The sequence below is a fragment of the Homo sapiens genome, chromosome 3, assembly GCF_000001405.40.
Source record: "Homo sapiens chromosome 3, GRCh38.p14 Primary Assembly".
Taxonomy (NCBI): Eukaryota; Metazoa; Chordata; class Mammalia; order Primates; family Hominidae; genus Homo; species Homo sapiens.
The window spans coordinates 113,230,969-113,248,271 of NC_000003.12; the positions used below are offsets into that span (position 1 = coordinate 113,230,969).

General features: G+C 42.5%; 1 protein-coding gene across 42 annotated transcripts in view; it reads left to right on the top strand.

Annotated features, from left to right (window-relative positions):
* BOC (BOC cell adhesion associated, oncogene regulated) overlaps positions 1 to 17,303 on the top strand; it is a 76,534-nt gene that overhangs the window by 20,043 nt on the left and 39,188 nt on the right. The window lies entirely within an intron of this gene.

A 17,303-nucleotide genomic window follows, 5' to 3' on the forward strand; every position in this document is an offset into this window, starting at 1 on the left:
TTATCCACATTGTGTGAATGCAACAGAATCCTGGAATTAGGGGAAGTGTTCTTTATAAGCTGGAGGAATTGATTGCTGGAGATTAAGGAATATGGACATAGCATATTCCTTAAATGTGATAATGGGGCAAGGAACAACATTTTATGGTTGAAGGGGTGGTTGGGAAATGAGGCCTATGGGAAGATGGGAAGATAAAATATCAGTGGTGGCATGAGAATATTTGGAGATAGCTTTTTTTCAAATTTGCCTTTTTAATTACAAAAGCGATGCTACATACCTTGTTTGAAAATTTCCAAGGTATTTAAAGCTAAAAGGGCAAATCCCCTGATCTTCAGAGATAACTGATACTAAAATTTAAGTGTCTCCTGACATTTTTCTATGACAACCCAGATAACTACACACCACATATTCATAAGTAACTTTTTTAAATTATAAAATGGGATCATGATGGTTTGCAAATTGCTTAAGGACATTCTTCAGGAACCTCTTAGGCCAGTATTTCTCAAAGAGTATTTGGTGAAGGTCTCATCACTAATGGTACTGTGAGAAAAAAGGATAGTTTTGTCAAATGAGTCCAGGTTTGTGGTCAAGTGAGTCCAAGCCTGTGGGTACAGACTTTAGTGCATACTCTCTCCCACTCTTGGTGATTCATGATGCATAATAGCATACTAAAGGCTCAGAAAAGGCCTGCAGTAAAGAAATCTGATAGCTTTTCTTAATATAGCATTTTCCTAAATTATTTTCGGTGGCATATTTTAATATCTGGTAGGTTTTTAGAATATTCCTCACTAATCTCCTTTCCACCACTACATCCCCACCCCTCTGCCACTGTAACCTTGTGAGATAGGCAGGAAAAGAGCTCATCTGTTCATTTAATCAACAAATACTTACTGCACTCCTACTATGTGCCAAGCATTGTGATTGATGCTGGGGATATGTGAATGAACAACATAGAAGGCTCTCTGCTCTCATGGACTCTCACTGTTTGCCTGCAGCATAGTGATGGTATTAGTCACATCCATCATTAGTCATGGTGGATGGCTGTGCTGTGTGTACCTGGGAATGGCAGAACCTCAGCAGGGGGATCCTCTTTGCAACTGGTGGAGCCTAAGAGCAGGAGGCTAGAATTATCCCCACCCCCTCTGCTCCTTCCCTTCTTCATGCCTCTCCAATTCCCCACACTTTGCTCCTGCTGTAAACAGTGGTGCCTGATCCAGCTGGCAAGGCTCCATGTGTTTGTTTTCTCTGCATGTGCCAGCCTTGCACCGAGGCCACTGAGCTTCCCAAGTTGGGGAGAGCTGGCAGGGGTTGGGGCTGGGGGCTTCCAGCAGAAGGCAGGGACTGTTTGACAGACCAACTGCAGCATGCTTCAGATTTCCAAATTGATATTTATTTAAGTTTTAGGTGATTTAAAAGAACTTTGTAATTGAGAAAGGAAGGATTGGGGATGAAGTTGGGGACTGAATGTGTATATTTGGGGGTCAGGGAGGTGGCAAAGAAAGTGAGTTTGTATGAGGTCAGATGGGAAAGAAAGTAAACTGTCATGACTCCAAAGCATACTTAGCAGCTAGAGCTGGAGCTGTTTGCTGTGCGAGTGTGTGTGTGTGTGTGTGTGTGTGTGTGCACACGTGCACATGCCTGCCTGTCTTAGAGGTGGAGAATGCACATGTCCAAGGCAGGATGCTGGGCCACCCTATGAGGGAGGTATCCAGCCCCTGAGATATTGCCTCTTCTTAAATATTTTTTGTGAAGTACTGGGGATGAATCTGCAGTAAGCATTAGACTAATGAAAATATTCCTAAAAGTAACCCTAAAAGGAGTTATTCAGATTTATTAAGTTGCTGTCACTTATGGGATACCTACTTAGTGCCAGTCATTGTTATAGATGTTTACTAATGTGATCTGTTTTTCCTTCAGCATCCCTATGCGAGTTGATTTTGTTGTCCTGTGCCAAACTGTTCCTTTTAAAGTTCGGGGTAAGGGTTTCTTGCTTGCATAAAAGTCTAGGAGGAATGTTGTCCATGTCGCAGTGCAGCCAGATGCGAACTGAAGAATGGTAGCTTCTCACCTCCCATCTTGTCATTGACTTCAGCAGTTCAGCTATTTTACCCCAAGGCCTAGATTTTTATTTGAATGCATCAGATTTCCTGCAAGCATGCATGAGCATGTAAAGGATTGGGGTGTGTGTGTGTGTGTGTGTGTGTGTGTGTGTGTGTGTGTGTGTGTGTCGGGGGTTGGAGCTGGCTTTGCCTGGCATCTGTTTGAATCAGCCCCAGAGAAAGACAGGCCAAGATGCAGCAGCCTGATCCTCATTCAGTCCGGGTCACAGCACCTGAGACCTATTTTGAGTCATGTGGAGGGTATAAATGTGGGCCTAGGGCCATTGGTTGCTTAATCATCACGAGGAAGGGGCATAGAGAATGACTGCAAGTGACAGCTTAATTGGAATTGGTAGTAATTATGTTGCCTAACTAACAGAGGAAATCAAAATGAGTCTTTTTAACCCCCAGACCTCCCTAAATGCCCAGCTTCTCATACCAAGAAAACAGCTCCTCGCTAGTCTATGTGACTACAGTGCTCGCTTCTCTCCACCATGACCTTTCACCTTGGCATCTCAGGTGAATTCATTGCTATTCCTGAGTCCTTGGTCTAACGGTCAGTTGAACCCTAAACACTTAACAGTGTGCTGGGCTCTGGGGGCATGAAGAGCTGGGGACCTCACCGCTGCCTAGTGGGCTGCCTGACATGGAATGGGTACTTGAGACCTGCCCATCGAATGGAATTGAGCTTCGTCAGGCGCCTACTTCTCTTTACATTCTTCTTCTCCACATTCAGCCCACCCCCACCCACCCCATGCTTGGAAGGTCTTATGTCCTGCCTGCCTTCTCCACTAATTAAGAACCACGGCGGGCTCCCAAACCAAATCCCTAAGGGAGATAGGAACGGGAATATCAGACACTCACGTATCACCTTCCCCTGCTCAAGCTCCACTTTGCAGCCGGAGTCCCACCTGGGATTCATCAGATCCAAACTCCATGGACTAGTTAGGCCTGGAAAAGACCTTAGAGGTAGGAGGTCTTTACAGCTTAGCAAACATTCTTTGAGTACCTGCTATATGTTGAGGTGGGAGACTTATAAACAAGTAAGTTACACTGCAGTGTGAAAATGACAGTGTAGATGATAAAGCTGAAGCTTAAGCGATGCTGACACATAGACTTCTGTTAGCTCTAGGGCTTTTTCCTGCCTTAACTGACAGACTTTGACAAATCTTCTAGGACTGTGTGAGGAATGAATATAGATGATCGAAAGGGGAATTCTTTTAAGACTTGTGAAAGAAGCTACATTGGAGAACTGACCTTCCCATGTACTGAGGACGGCCTGTGTGTGTGTATGTGTGCACATGGGCATGTGCACACATGTGTGTAGGAACCTGTGTACATTTCTTTTATCATTCTCCTGATGCCTTTGTTAGTGTTTCTGGCTCCCTGCCTGTTCTTAATAAAATCCACAGTTTATCTTGTAGCTTAACCTTTCTTGAGGCCATGCTACATTTCAATTTTGGTATAATAGAAAGATGTTGTCAAAGCTGATGGGGGCTAGGTCCTAAGCTCATTGAAGACTGGAGGCTGTGCCTTGTTTTCCTCTACATCCCCTAAGCCTTTTGTACAGTGTGTGGCACCTAGAGGGTGCTTACTGTCAGCACTGAATTGCGCCCAGTGCCCACCAGGGACCTGCACCTCTCATCAGGAATGACTTTGGGATTGCCAGCTGTTCTATCTGCTCCTCTCAGCATGAACACTAAGCAGAGTGCCTTGTTTTTACTGCACTTGGGAGCCATATCCTGTTGCCTTTTTGGATGATTCGGGGGAAATTCCTTGTCTGTGGTTCCGTATGTGTTGCAGGCTGAGGGTTGGCTTGCTCCCTCGAGCGCTTCCTGGGATAATACACTGTGTTCTTCTCAGGGCTCCATTGTTTCCCATAGGCACTTTCAGCTGGAGTCAGTGTTCCAGTCTTCCTCTGAGCCTGTTTATAATAGTAAGGTTTGTGTTCACACACTGGTCGCTAGTCAAATGGGATTGGTTTTCCTTTGTGTAAGACATAGGACTTTAAGCTCTTAAGATCTGCTTTAAGTGCTGTTCAGGTCCTGGGACTGTTTGTTTACATGCCTTTTGGCTACTGTCCACCCAGGCTTTAAACACTTCCTTTTACATGGGTTATTTTGTCAACTCTGAGCACCTAAAGGTTGGGAAGTAGATGCTCTTATTTCCTTTCCAGCCACTATATTAGCGTTTTAGTTCATTTTACATGACTTATGTGGGTATAACCCTGGTCATATGTTGTAATTAGAAAGAGGGATGGAGAAAAAGAACAGGTGGTTTTGTTGTGGCTTTGAGCATTCACTGAATGAGGTCAGAGGTGGGCTCCTCTCTGGGGCTGGGAGTGGGAGTCCAGGAGGGATTATAGGGGTATGTTTTCCTTTATATAAACACTTCTCCACAACGTCTTGTCTCAACTGACCTACTGTATGATGATGAGGATATTTTCCTTTTTCCCTCTGAGCAAGTAGAGACACTGTGAAGAAATTATGATGATTATTGTCATTATCATCAAGAGTGCAGAGAGGGCATAAGTGGGGGAAGGTGAAGAGGTTATTAGCTTAAGTGATATTAAATGCTGACTAGTGTTGGGTAGAGATGGAGACATTAGGAACTACATCTTGCCACAAACTTGGGAACACTAGAGCATTCTCCATGGATCCCTATTCCCCAGACCTATTTCAAGGGTCTACAAAACATTATATAGAATATGTTTTTAAAACAACGAAGAATATTTTTTGAACTTCTGATGCAGGTGTGTAGGGTACGAGAATCAGCCCATTGCTTAATTTTGTATAGGAAAGAGCAAAGAGATGAAATCATGTGTGTCTAGAGTTGTTAAAGTGTATTATGTCTGGCAAGGATGTGGAGAAAAGGGAATGCTTATATACTGTTGTTGGAAATGTAACTTAGCACAACCCCTACGGAAAACAGTATGGAGATTTCTCAAAGAACTGAAAATAGAAGTATCATATGATCCAGCAAGCCCGCTATTTAGTATCTACCCAAAGGAAAGGAAATCATTACATAAAAAAGATACGTGCACTTCTGTGTTTATAGCAGCACTATATCACAATAGCAAAGATATGGAATCAACATAAATGTCTATCAACATATGATTGGATAAAGAAAATATGGTATATATATACGTGTATATACGTATATGTGTGTGTGTGTGTGTGTGTGTGTGTGTGTGTGTGTGTATATATACCCATGGGTATATATATATATATATATATATATATATACCCATGGAATACTGCTCAGTCATAAAAAAGAATGGAATCATGTCTTTTGCAGCAACATAGATAGAACTGGAGGTTTTTCTCTTAAGCAAAGTAACTCAGAAACAAAAAGCCAAATACCACATGTTCTCACTTGTAAATGGGAGCTAAATAATGTGTACACATAGACATAAAGTATGGAATGATAGACATTGGACACTTGGAAGGGTGGGAGGGTGGGAAGAGGGTGAGGGATGAGAAATTACCTAATGGGTACAATGTACACTATTGGGTGATGTTTACACTCACACAATGTATCCATGTAACAACACTTCACTTTGTTATCCATGTAACAAAACTGCACTTATACCCCCAAATCTACAAAAAGTTTTAAAAATTTTTAAATAAAAGATGAGCAATGAACATTTTTTTAAAAAATGGAGCATGTCTTTAGGTCTTAAAGGATGTTGATCTATAAGCCAAAAAGGTGGCATTGCCACTGCATTAAATCAGGCATCCAGTGAATGGCTTTTGGAAGAAAAGTTTCATGACCCCTGACTCCCGAATTACTGCATGATTGGTATATGCCAGGTTGCTTTTGCGCATTATCTTACTAACTTTTTTAAATAGCTCATCAAAGTATTACCATTCTTATTTTCACAAAGTATAAACTGAGGCTCAAAGATACTAAGTAACTCACTCAAGGTGATCTTCTGTGAAGGGTAGAAGAGTTTCAGAAGCCAAGGCTTATGGTTCTTCAGTACCTGATCCTGCTGAGCTCCAATGCTGTCACTTAGTAGACAAGCTTTGTCTATAATAAAATTTGAGATGAGACCTAAAGCCCTTAAGTGATGGAACATCAGGAAGGGTTTTGATAACATATAAAATGGAGCTAGGAACACTCTCTGGGTGGTAAAGATTAAAAGTGTTGGTGGATATGAAGCAGCCAGCCGTGGGCTCAGCACATCATGGGAGCTGGGGTAAAACTAGGTGCCTTTCTCACATCTCTGCTCCCATCCCCCCTGCCCTTCTCATGCTCTTTTCTTGATCTTCTTAGGCCTGAACCTGTCGTCTTTCTCACTCCATACTTTCTTATTTCTCCCTTTCCCATCCTCTTTGCCTGCCTTCTTCTACCCAGCCTCCAACTCAGGGCCATGGTGATGGTGGCACAGGCATGGTCTCATCCTAGATTAGATTCTCCTGCAGCCCAGTGGCTATAGGACGCCTGAAGCCACAAGCTTAGTTGGGTGTTCATTTTGGAAGATGAGATGAGAAGGAAAACAAAAGAAGCTTCTGGAATGGAACCTCAAGGCACAGGAGCATCTGCAGGGACACAGCCTTCTGTCCTTAAAGTGCTTAGAACCTCATCAACATTCAACTCCCCTCCAGGATTGCCCACACTGACGTGGGGACCTTTTGGTTTTGAAAAATACAGGTCACATTTATAGTCCTTTCCCCCCAGGAAAAAAAATTGGTTCCACCATTAATAACAGTGTGTCTCTCTCTGTATGCCACACATGTCCTTGGTCAGGCTAACGTTCTTTCTCGATCCTAGATTTCTAATTTGACCAAACCCTTCAATCCAGCAAACACTGAAAAAGCACCTATGATGTGCCAAGGCTTTTCTAGGTGCTAGGGTTACCAAGATAAATTGGACACATCCTTGCCTTCAATGAGTTTATTGTCTGGGGTCAGAAGAAAGAGATAAGAGGTATATGACAGACAGATGCATGATCAAAACCCAGAAATCCCTGTAGAAATGTTATATAAGGTGTGTGAGATGCTACGGGAACCAGAATGAGGAACAGCCACAGAAGGCTTCATAAGAGGTGACATTTGAGGTAAGATTTAAAGATAATTAGGAGTTCCATGCATGGAATGAAGGGAGAAGGGAAAGGTGGTTCCGGTAGAAGGAACAGAGAGTATGAAAATGCAGCCTCCCCAGATTTTAGGGCTTACGGGAGGCAGACAGAGGAAAGGTTGACTGGAACCCAGTTACAAAAAGCCTGGAAGGCTTTGCATTGGAATTTGAACTTTATTTAATCATACTCAGATGGGGAGCAATCAGAGTTGTGTCTGTTCACGTATTCTCTTTTTTCTTTAACTGAACTCCAAATAGGAAAAAAAAATCATAATTCCTCCACATTTTTAACTCAGCTGCTTTTTAGAATGTTTCAGGCCTCACCCAGATGCTCACTTGCTTTTTACGAAATGGGATCTATGTTACTTTTCTCATCTTTTAAACATTTATTTTCATGTTGCTACTTGAGCTTTATAATTATCATTTTAATAGCTACGTAATAGTCCATCAATTATTATGCCATAATTTACAGAAAGCAGCATGGTAGAGTGAAAAGAACCAAGGGTTTTAGGATCAGGCAGACCTGGTTCAAATCCTCACCCTGAGATTTATCATCTGTGTGATCTTGGACAAGATTTTAATCACTCTGAACTTCAGTTTCCTAATCTATGAAATGGGTTGACCATACACACACCTTACAGGGCTACTGTGAGAATATAAAATTCGATGAATTCTGACAATGGCCTATAGGAGGTGCTTGCTCAAGGAATAGTAGCTTCCCAGTTACCTTTTACTGTTTGGTTGAGCTTAATGTTTTAGAAAGAAGGTAGATGGCAATGCAGAGGCTGATTAGATGGAGAGAAGACAGTGCCTGAGAGCTAGTTTGAGGGCTCTAGACCAATGCTGTTCAATAAATTAGCCACTAGCCCATGTGGCTGTTAAGCACGTGAAATGTGGCTAGTCTAAATTGAATGTGCAGTAAATACAACAGATACACTCGATTTGGAAGACAGCATCAAACAAAGTGTAAAAACATCTCAATTTTTATCTTGATTACATGTTGAAATTATAAATTTTGGATATATCATGTTAAAAGACATTATATTATCTTCACCTGTTTTTTTTAAGTGGGTACTAGAAAATTTAAAATTACATAGGGGGTGGAATTATATTTCTGTTGGACAACACTGCTCATGGCAGAGGTAGAGTCCATACAACTGATCAGATACTGGGGCGGAGAAGCAGGGAGAAGCAGGAGACAAGATGACTCCAAGGTTGGACAGCCAAGTAGGTAGCAAATCTTTTCGTGGCTTTAGGGAAGATAGGAGAGTAGACAAGTTTATGTTTGTATAAGCAGGTTGTTAATGGGTGTCCTCTGAGCAGTGACATAAAAGGCAAGGATTTGGTTTAGACTAGAGTAACTGTCCCTGCCTTCCTTATGAGTTGGCCATTCAGGCTCCTTCCATGTCACATACTGTACATGCTTTCATTCCAGCACAGGCTTGTTAGGGACACTTCTTCCCACTCCTATATGCTTACAGCCCACATGGCGGGCTTGTCACCAGGTTCAGAGCATACTTGGTGCCCAGAAGCTTCTAGAGTGAAAGATTACTGACCAATGTGCTCTTTGCAGGGAAGGTTGGGAAGAGCTTGGCTTCTCCGTGGTGCCCTCAGAGTGCTCCAAGACTGGCTTGCCAGAGAGCTCCAGATATCTCTGCTTGCCCTTGTGTGGAGCTCTCCTCTGTAAACCATGAAATATGCTGGGTCACAGTAACCTAGAGTAGGGCTGTACAGAAAAAAGAAATTGCAGGGAAGCTTCCACAGGGAGGCTAACTGTTCACAAAGTCCCGTTAGACCCAACTCAGTTGTGTGTCTCCACCGACTCTGGCTTTTCTAAGATTCCAGGAGTCATCAGGGAGTTCATACCGAGGACCAAGGAGCTGAGGCTGGCTTCCGGATAGCATTTCAGATAACTGCATGATACTTAGGTTTGAGAGCCAGGAATTGAAATTGTACCTGGCCTCTGAAATAGCCAGTGTACCATTCCCTGCAAAATTGTTGGGATATATGGCCTTGGGTTGAGCTAGGAAACTAGAGATTGATGATGCATCTCAGCAGTGGGTAAGAACAGGGAATGTGGAATGTATCAAGCTTGGAAGGCAAAAAACAACAACAACGAGCACAGTGTCTGCCTTGGTTTTAGCAGTTTCAGCTGACTTAGCCTACCTGGCTTTGGTACTGGAGGAGGGGATAACAAAGGACACCTGTGAGATACTCGCACCACTCTGTCAGGGTTATTGCCACACATACAGTAGGAGCCTTTTGCTTCTCCTAAAGCCATTTTCATCTGCCCCAACCCTGACTGTAGTTGTCAGGGAGCATTCCAAGTTGTTTGTCACCAGTAGTAAAACTCTAGGAGCATGTATTCATTCAGGAACCATTTATTGAGCTCCTTCTATGTGTTAGAAATACCATAGGATTAAAGTTTCAACTATAGGGAAATATATGAAAGTTCTTTTAATTTTCCTTTTTTTCTATCCTGATTTAAATTTGTGATTTTTTACAATCACAGAACAAATAGCTTTAGGCTTTACAACTTATAAAAACTATCCTTTGAGGAATTCTATCATATCTTGGTTATGAATTTTATTTTTGCTGCAAAGATGGGAGAAGTTTACTGTGTTTCCTTCCTACATTCCCTGCTCCTCCTTCCTTTTTGAGCACTGGCGGGGGAAGATGCCCTTAGACCTCAGGGATCCCCAAGCCTGACTTCCAGCAGATATACTTGTGACAAGGCCCACCCTACTGGACAGCCCACTCCCGTAATGCAAAGAGGCGCCTAATGCCCTTAGCTTGGCTGTGGCAGACCACACCTTCACCTCCTTCTCAGCCAGAGCCAGATGAACCAGAGGAGGAAATGGCCCAGACTTGGCAGGCTGGTGCGTCCTCTGCCCCTGTAGGGGTTTATTTCTAAAGTGGTTTCATCCCAGCACCACATCTGTGACTTCTCAAGGCCACTGGAGAGCTGAGAATTGGCCACAGGCCTGATACCCCAGGAAGGTAGATGTCACTGGCCTTAATGACCTTGTATTGACTGGGATTGAGATAGGGCTGGAGTGAGGATTCAAGGGACAGAGTCAGAAATACCTAGGCATAGGTGGCTAAATATGAAGGTTTCTGTCCCCAAAGGCCCTGATGGTTGGGTGCTCTTCCAGAGACCACACTCACCCACCCATACTCCCTTACACATGTGCACAGACTCAAACCTGCACACATCTGCACACACAACATCAAGTGTTCCTGGCCCTGTGTGGATGCTGCAGCCCTCTCCCCCTCTGCTCTCCCGGGAACTCCTACTTCTCACTTCTCCCCAGCCCCCAACACCACCATGGCAGTCCTCACACCTAACCCCAAAGTCCAGCCTTTCCACCAGCCCCAACCTCTCTAGATTAGAACTCTCTGGGTACCAGGACCTTTTGAAAGGAAGAAAGAAAGAAAAAAGGAGGAAAAACAGAAAGAAAGTGGGAAACAGAAGAATGAAACCGGGAAGGGGCAGTGGTGCCTTCAGCTATCTCACTGCATTACAATGAATATGGACTCTATTAAGCTCCGTTCTGCCTGTTAGTGTTTCCCGGGGCAACACAGCCCCCATATGGCAAGCATGCAGCAGATTAGGGTAGGCCCCAGGGCCGCATTGAAGGCCAGTGGCTTGACTGGCAGTTGAACCCCCTCCCCACCTCCCCCTACTCCTCACACTTGACACTGCCTGTGTTTATCTAAAGCAAGGAGGGGGGTGCCATTTGAAAGGTTTTTGTCCTGACTCAGAGAAGGGAGGAGGAGGAGGCTGGAGGCAGGGTGGAGAGAGGGAGGTTGAGGGAGGAAGGAAGGTGGAGGTGGGGTAGAAAGGGGAGAGGCGAGGAGGGAAGGCTTCATAAATATTCAAGAGGAGCTCTGAATGAAGAGAGAGAAATAAAGCAGATGGAATTCGTGTTAAAGAACAGCACAATCACCCTGTTTTGAGCCCTCCAAAAACAAAAAAAAAAAAAGAAAAGAGAACGGCCTTCTAGGAGTGTAGGAGCTGCGTTTATCCAATTAGCAGGGTTGTCAAATTGAATTTATATGAAACAGGAGTGGGGGAATTGAGCCGGGAGTGTAGAAGAAAGGAAGTGGTTTTCCTTTTCTTTCGGTCTTCCAGTTTAGCAATAAAACCCCCCACACTGTGGGTAGATTTGTAGATTTTTTTTGAAATCTCTTAAAAGAAATGAGGTCATTTTGGGGAAGAGGTATGAGTGACAAAGAAAACTCCCCAGTAACTTTTTCCTCCAGTGCTGGAGCAGGGAGAGGATTAGACGTGTTTTAGCAGAAGCTCTGTGGGCAAATCAAGAGATAAGACCTCTTCTCCTTGACTCAGATGGCAGAGGTGGCTTCTCCTCGGAGAGGTTCCTCCCCGAGGAAAGATGCTGTATCCTGGCTCCTTCCCTTTCTGCTTGCCTTGATGGTGAGTGGAAATAGGCTCTGTTTGTTAGCACTTTGTTATAAATTCTGGGTTCAGTGAGAGGAACCCAGGTTTTGCTAATCTCCCCAAAATGCCACTTTGATTATATATTCCCTTGCTCAAAAACCATCACTAACTCCTCTCCTTCTGTGGTATGAATTTTAAACTCTTTTCTCTGGTCTTCCACAGTAAGACCCAATCTCAGTGTCCTACCTTGTCTCTTTTCGTTCTTTTACGTAAGTCTCCAAAGTGGGGTGCAAGTGCCAAGGGGAAAAAATATAAGCAATTCCGTTGGAGCACTGTAAGATAACAGTAGAGATTCCCTTAATGTTTTTTCTACCTAAAAAAGGAATAGGAAAGAAATTCAGCTTTGCTAATATTTAATATAGGGGTTGGCAGTGGTGCCTTCGGTCTGTACATGAGGTTGTCATGTGTCACAACAGTGTCCCAGGCATCTCCATGGGTAAACGGCTTGACAGTGTGGGGGCCTCACTCGTTCATTCACTCCCCAGTTTTCCTGTTCTCCCTTAAGTGGATTTACAGATTATATTATTTAGTTTAACTAAATTAACTCTCACAAGAGGACAAGTGGCTTAAAGAGATTGCTACAAAGAAACTGGGTTGAAGAGAAGGCTGATAATCCAAGCACATGCAAACAGGAAGAAAACAGCAGAGCTGACCCTTTTCAAGCCACAGGAGGGAGTAAAAACAATGATAATGGAATCACTTCTGATGAGAAGTCAACAAAATAATTAACAGTCAAGCAGACTATTTGAAAGAGATTACACCCATATCATTAGTGATGATACTAATCCTAAATAGGCGTTCTGCCTTAAGGTATTAGCTAATGATATTTTAAGACAATCATGGTTAAGGAGTTATTAAAATATGGTTTCATTTTTACCTACTCTTTTTAACATTTTAGTTCTGCAGTGCATGTGTTTGATTTATAAGTAGAGAAGTATGCACATATTAGGGATGTTTGCCCGGAATATTTCACTCAGGCGGTCGTAGGATTAGGGAAGTTTGGAGACCACTGTTACAGATAAACCCAACTGTTTGGCACACCACCCTCCCCACCCTGCAAACACAAGACTAGCATTCCCACCAAGTCAGTATCACCTTCCTGCTGTGCCCTCATCCCCCTTGCTTGTACATACCTCAAGAGGCCCAGTTTCAAATCCCATTTCCAGAACACCTTCCCTTAAGACCTGAACTGAAAACTTCTGCCTCTGCTCTCATTTGCCACTTCACATTGGTGACTGAACTGATCAGTGAAAGTATTAAAGAATGCTAAAGTTGTTACAGGAGAATAATCACAAAATTTCAGTGGTTTTGTGCAACAAACCTCTTCTCATGTCACATCTTGAGCTAATTGCTTCGATCTTATAGCTGTGCCTTCTGAACCATGTGACATATGGTCACCAGACTGGTGAGGCAAAGATGGAAGCAGCTGTCAATCTCTTAACCGCCATGGCCCAGTAGTGACACGTGAAGTTCACTTACACATGTTCATTGGCCAGCACTAGTCACATGGCCCTAAGCTCACTGCAGAGGAGGCTAGGAAATGAAGAGGAGCTTGTGGATATTTGCTGGGTGCTAGTGAATTTATGTCCCAAATATTGCTTTAAGCTCCTAAGGACTGAATCCATTTTCTAATACTCACAGTACCTTGCATATTGTGTTGTATGTGGTAGAGTATAGCAATATTTTTTTCTTCCCAGTAATATTAATAATTAAAAGCCAAGGCACACATCATTTGTTAACAGAAGACTCATTCACAAAATTTGGATGAGGAATAAGGTAAAATATACTTAGAGGCTGGCTAGAGCATGACTTATACTTAAAAACATCAAACCGTTGTTTTTTTTCTCCCCTATTTGACATCAGAGTGTTCTGGGTAGATGTTCCAGATATTAGTCTAGAACTGTGCTGTCTAATGTGGCAACCACTAGCTCTGTATGGTTATTTAAGTTAAATTTAAAGAAAATTAAAACTTCAGTGTCTTAGTCACATTAGCCACATTTTGAGAACTTCATAGCCCTGAGTGGCTAGTAGCTATCTAGTGCTTTAGACAGCACAAATATAGAATATTTCCATCATTGCAGAAAATTCTACGGAAGGGGCTTATGCAATGAACAGTAGGAGATTTTTATAGATTAGAATGTATGATGAAAGGATAAAAATGATCACACAGAAAGTTACTGTTATAGATAATGATCCAGGTAACATTATTCTTATGTATAAGGAAGTAAATTCAGAAACATTCTAAAATTGGCTTTGAAACCGTTTCTAGCCAGTTGATTAAAGTGGCTCCAGAAACAATTTGCTAGGAGGTAGTGTTAAGATAGTAAAAGGAGCACTGGACTAGGAGTGAGAAGACCTGACTTGTAGCCCAAAGTCTCCCTTCTGAATTAGCTGGGAGACCTTCTACAAATCACTTAGACTCATTCAGCCTTGACACATTATTCATAACACTCAAAACACATTAGGCATTACTCTACGATACTTGTTTATTTTCTCTGAGGTCCCTCCGAATTAAAAAAAATTTTAATTAAAAAAATTTTTTAAATTAGGTCTGTGTGTCAAATACAACTTTTTAAGTAAAAATGACCTTTGTTTTTTGTATATATTTAAAGGTATACAACCTGATGTTTTGATAAGCTTTCTTTCTCTTTTTTTAGAGACAGAGTCTTGCTCTGTTGCCCAGGCTGGAATGCAGTGCAGTGCCTGTCATAGCTCACTACAACCTCAAATTCCTGGGCTGAAGTGATCCTCCTACCTCAGCCTCCTCAGTAAACCTTTCTTTCTTAATTCCTTCTCCTAAGTCTATCTAAACTCACATATTCAGCCCTCTGAAAATTAAATTCACTTATTTCCCCAATATTTGCTTCAATGCCTCTCTTCTGTGCAGGAGTACTACCCTCTTTCTTGAGATAGGGGGCTGCCAACACTTGCACCCCAGACACTTGGCATCACCTTCTAGGAGCAAAGCTTTCCCTGCCTTTAAGACAATTGGGAAAGGTGATTCTTACTCTAGAAAACTGGGAGCATGCAAAATGAAAAGTAACTTGGAGCAGGATTTTTTTCTTTTTCATGTAGCTAGTCCCTCTCTACCAATGGAACAAAAGACTTTGTCAGATCGTATTCTTGCCACTTGAAGAATGTTTTTAAGAAAGTCTCTTTGTGCTATCTGCTACATCACACTCTCTCCTATTCAGCTCACCTTTGTTATTGGTCTTAGGACATCCAAAGGGCATGTTTTGTGTTTTAGATCATAGAAGCTTCCCTTTCTGACAGCTGCCGTGGCATGGGCGTCCAGGGGATGAGCCGACGGCTTTTTGTGGTGTTCTCACTCTTGATCCAGTTAGTCAGCCAGCCCTCTTGGGAGGAAGTGGAGCTGGCCTCCTCCTGATGATGATCGACTCTCAGTTGTTTGTAATTTTCTCAAAAAATAAATACTCTGAGGCTACAGTTTCTCAGGATTGGTCTTAACCCCAGAGTGTGTTTTGTTGTTGTTGTTTTTGGAAAGTTTCAAAAACATCTGTTTGGAAGAGATTATTTCAGTGGAGAACATGTGTGTCAGCAGTTAAATGTTTCAGACCCATTTTCTTTCTTTTTTTGTGTGTGTCCAAATAACCCTTTAAACTGTCAAGTACCTAGGCCTCAATGAGGTGTCAAATGATTTTGATATTTTTTTCTTGATTTCTCTGCTTTGTCTCAGAAAATGACTAAGGAAAATAAGAAGGATCTTAGATATATTTTGCATTGCCAAGAAAAATAATAGGCCTTACTGTTGCCTTCACCCAACTTTGAAATTGTACTTTGTTCATTTCACAATGGGACAACGTTACACTGCAATTAGGTTCTCCAGCTTAAGCGTTACTTGCCTTTTTTCCCGAAACATTAAAATAAAGTTCTCAGGTAACTGAAATCTCTAGAATTATCTTTCTAAACCAAACTCACTAGGTAACTTGGTTCAAAAAGTAACTCACTTTCCCCAGATACTAAATAAAATGCATCATTTTATGTATTTATAATTTTATTTATTTATTTATAATCATCATCCAGTGACCAAGCCCCCCAACCTTCCCCAAACATAGCCATATTTTTTGGTCATAGTTCTGCTTTTACATGAATGAGACCCCACGCATCCTGTTTTGGGGTCCTTAAAATGGTACTTCTTACAACTGTGTTGTGGGGCTTAATGGGTTAACTCCTTTCTCCCTCTCTGGATACCTGCACCTTCTCACTCCCTCTCACTCCCAATTCTTTTCTCCTTGTTGTTTTTGAAAGCAGGATGGTGGCTGGCAGCAGCAACAGGATCTGTTTCCATTTTGAACCTTATAAATTACCGAGGGTGCAGAAGTAACAGGAATTGTTTGGCTGGTCCTCGTTAAGCAGGAGAGGGTCTGGGCTGAATTTCCTCAGTAAAATATTTGTTGCTGTTACAACCCAACACCTCCGTAGCCACCGTGTGTTCAGATAAGAAACAACCCTTCCATTCCTCTTTGTCTGCTTGTCCTCTTTTGCCCTTCATTACTTTATGTTCATTTTCTGTCTCCCTACCTCCCTTCTTCCCTTTCTTCCTCCCTCCCTTCCTTCCCTTCTTGGGGCATGGAAGGAACATTTGCTTTCAATTTCCTTAAGGGCCTGGGGAAATTGGGGCATGACTTGAACAAGCTAGTTCCCTAAAATCCCATAACTGGGAACTCATGCAATGATCTATATAAATACCTTATCTCATTGGGGAAAAGCAAATTAGAGAATTAAAGCAAGTATCTGGAAAATTGAGAGGAAACCAAAAGCTTACTTTTTGGTGTAAACTTTCCCTCTAGAAATCACTGTTAAAATGTCCCACTGTTCTACATCAACTCTGTTTGCTAAACACCCACTGGTTTCAGAGCCCTGATAGGAAAAAAAAAAAAAAAAAGGGAAAAAGGCTACTATTGTGATTAAAAAGCACAGAGTTTGGGAATCAGCCTAAACTGGGTTTCAATCCAGGCCTACTGTTATGTGATCCTGGGCAACTTCACTTCTGGAACTCAATTTTCTCTCCTGTAAAATGGGGATATAGTCGTCACCTTGCAGGGTTGATGAGAAGGTTAAAGGAAATACATTGTGTAAGAGCTTAGCGAGTTCCTGGAGTAGTGGCAGGCACCCCCAGCTTTCCACCACCACAGCCCCTCCCAATTGTACTCACATCCTTTGCAGCTTTCATGAATTTTACTTTGCCAATAATATGACCCTTTGATTTACTGGATTGTTTGAAAAAGAGCAAAAGCTCTCTCTCTACACCAACGGGAAATTATCTTAACTTGCCAGGAAATAACTTTTGAAAAACTTCTTTAAAAATGTTCTTTCAAATCCCTTTTAGAAAACATCCCCTTGTCCTATCCCAGAGTAGTGCTGAAGTCTTGTGAGTCCTCTGATGTCAAAGTCATGAGGCAAAGGGAGAAAATACAAACCATCGGGAAAGAACTCTTGGAAAACATTCTGAGCATCCACAGAATGCTAGGGGCTGGGGTCCTCCATCTGGTTTGGAGGGGTGCTCATTGGGCAGTGTGGATATGGCCCTCCTCACTCCCTCTGCAGCCAGGCAGAAAGCCAAAGGACCACAGGTCTTGGGGAAGGGAAAGGTTTAGGTTAATCCGAAGCACTTCCCAACACAGCAACAGTCCCCTGTG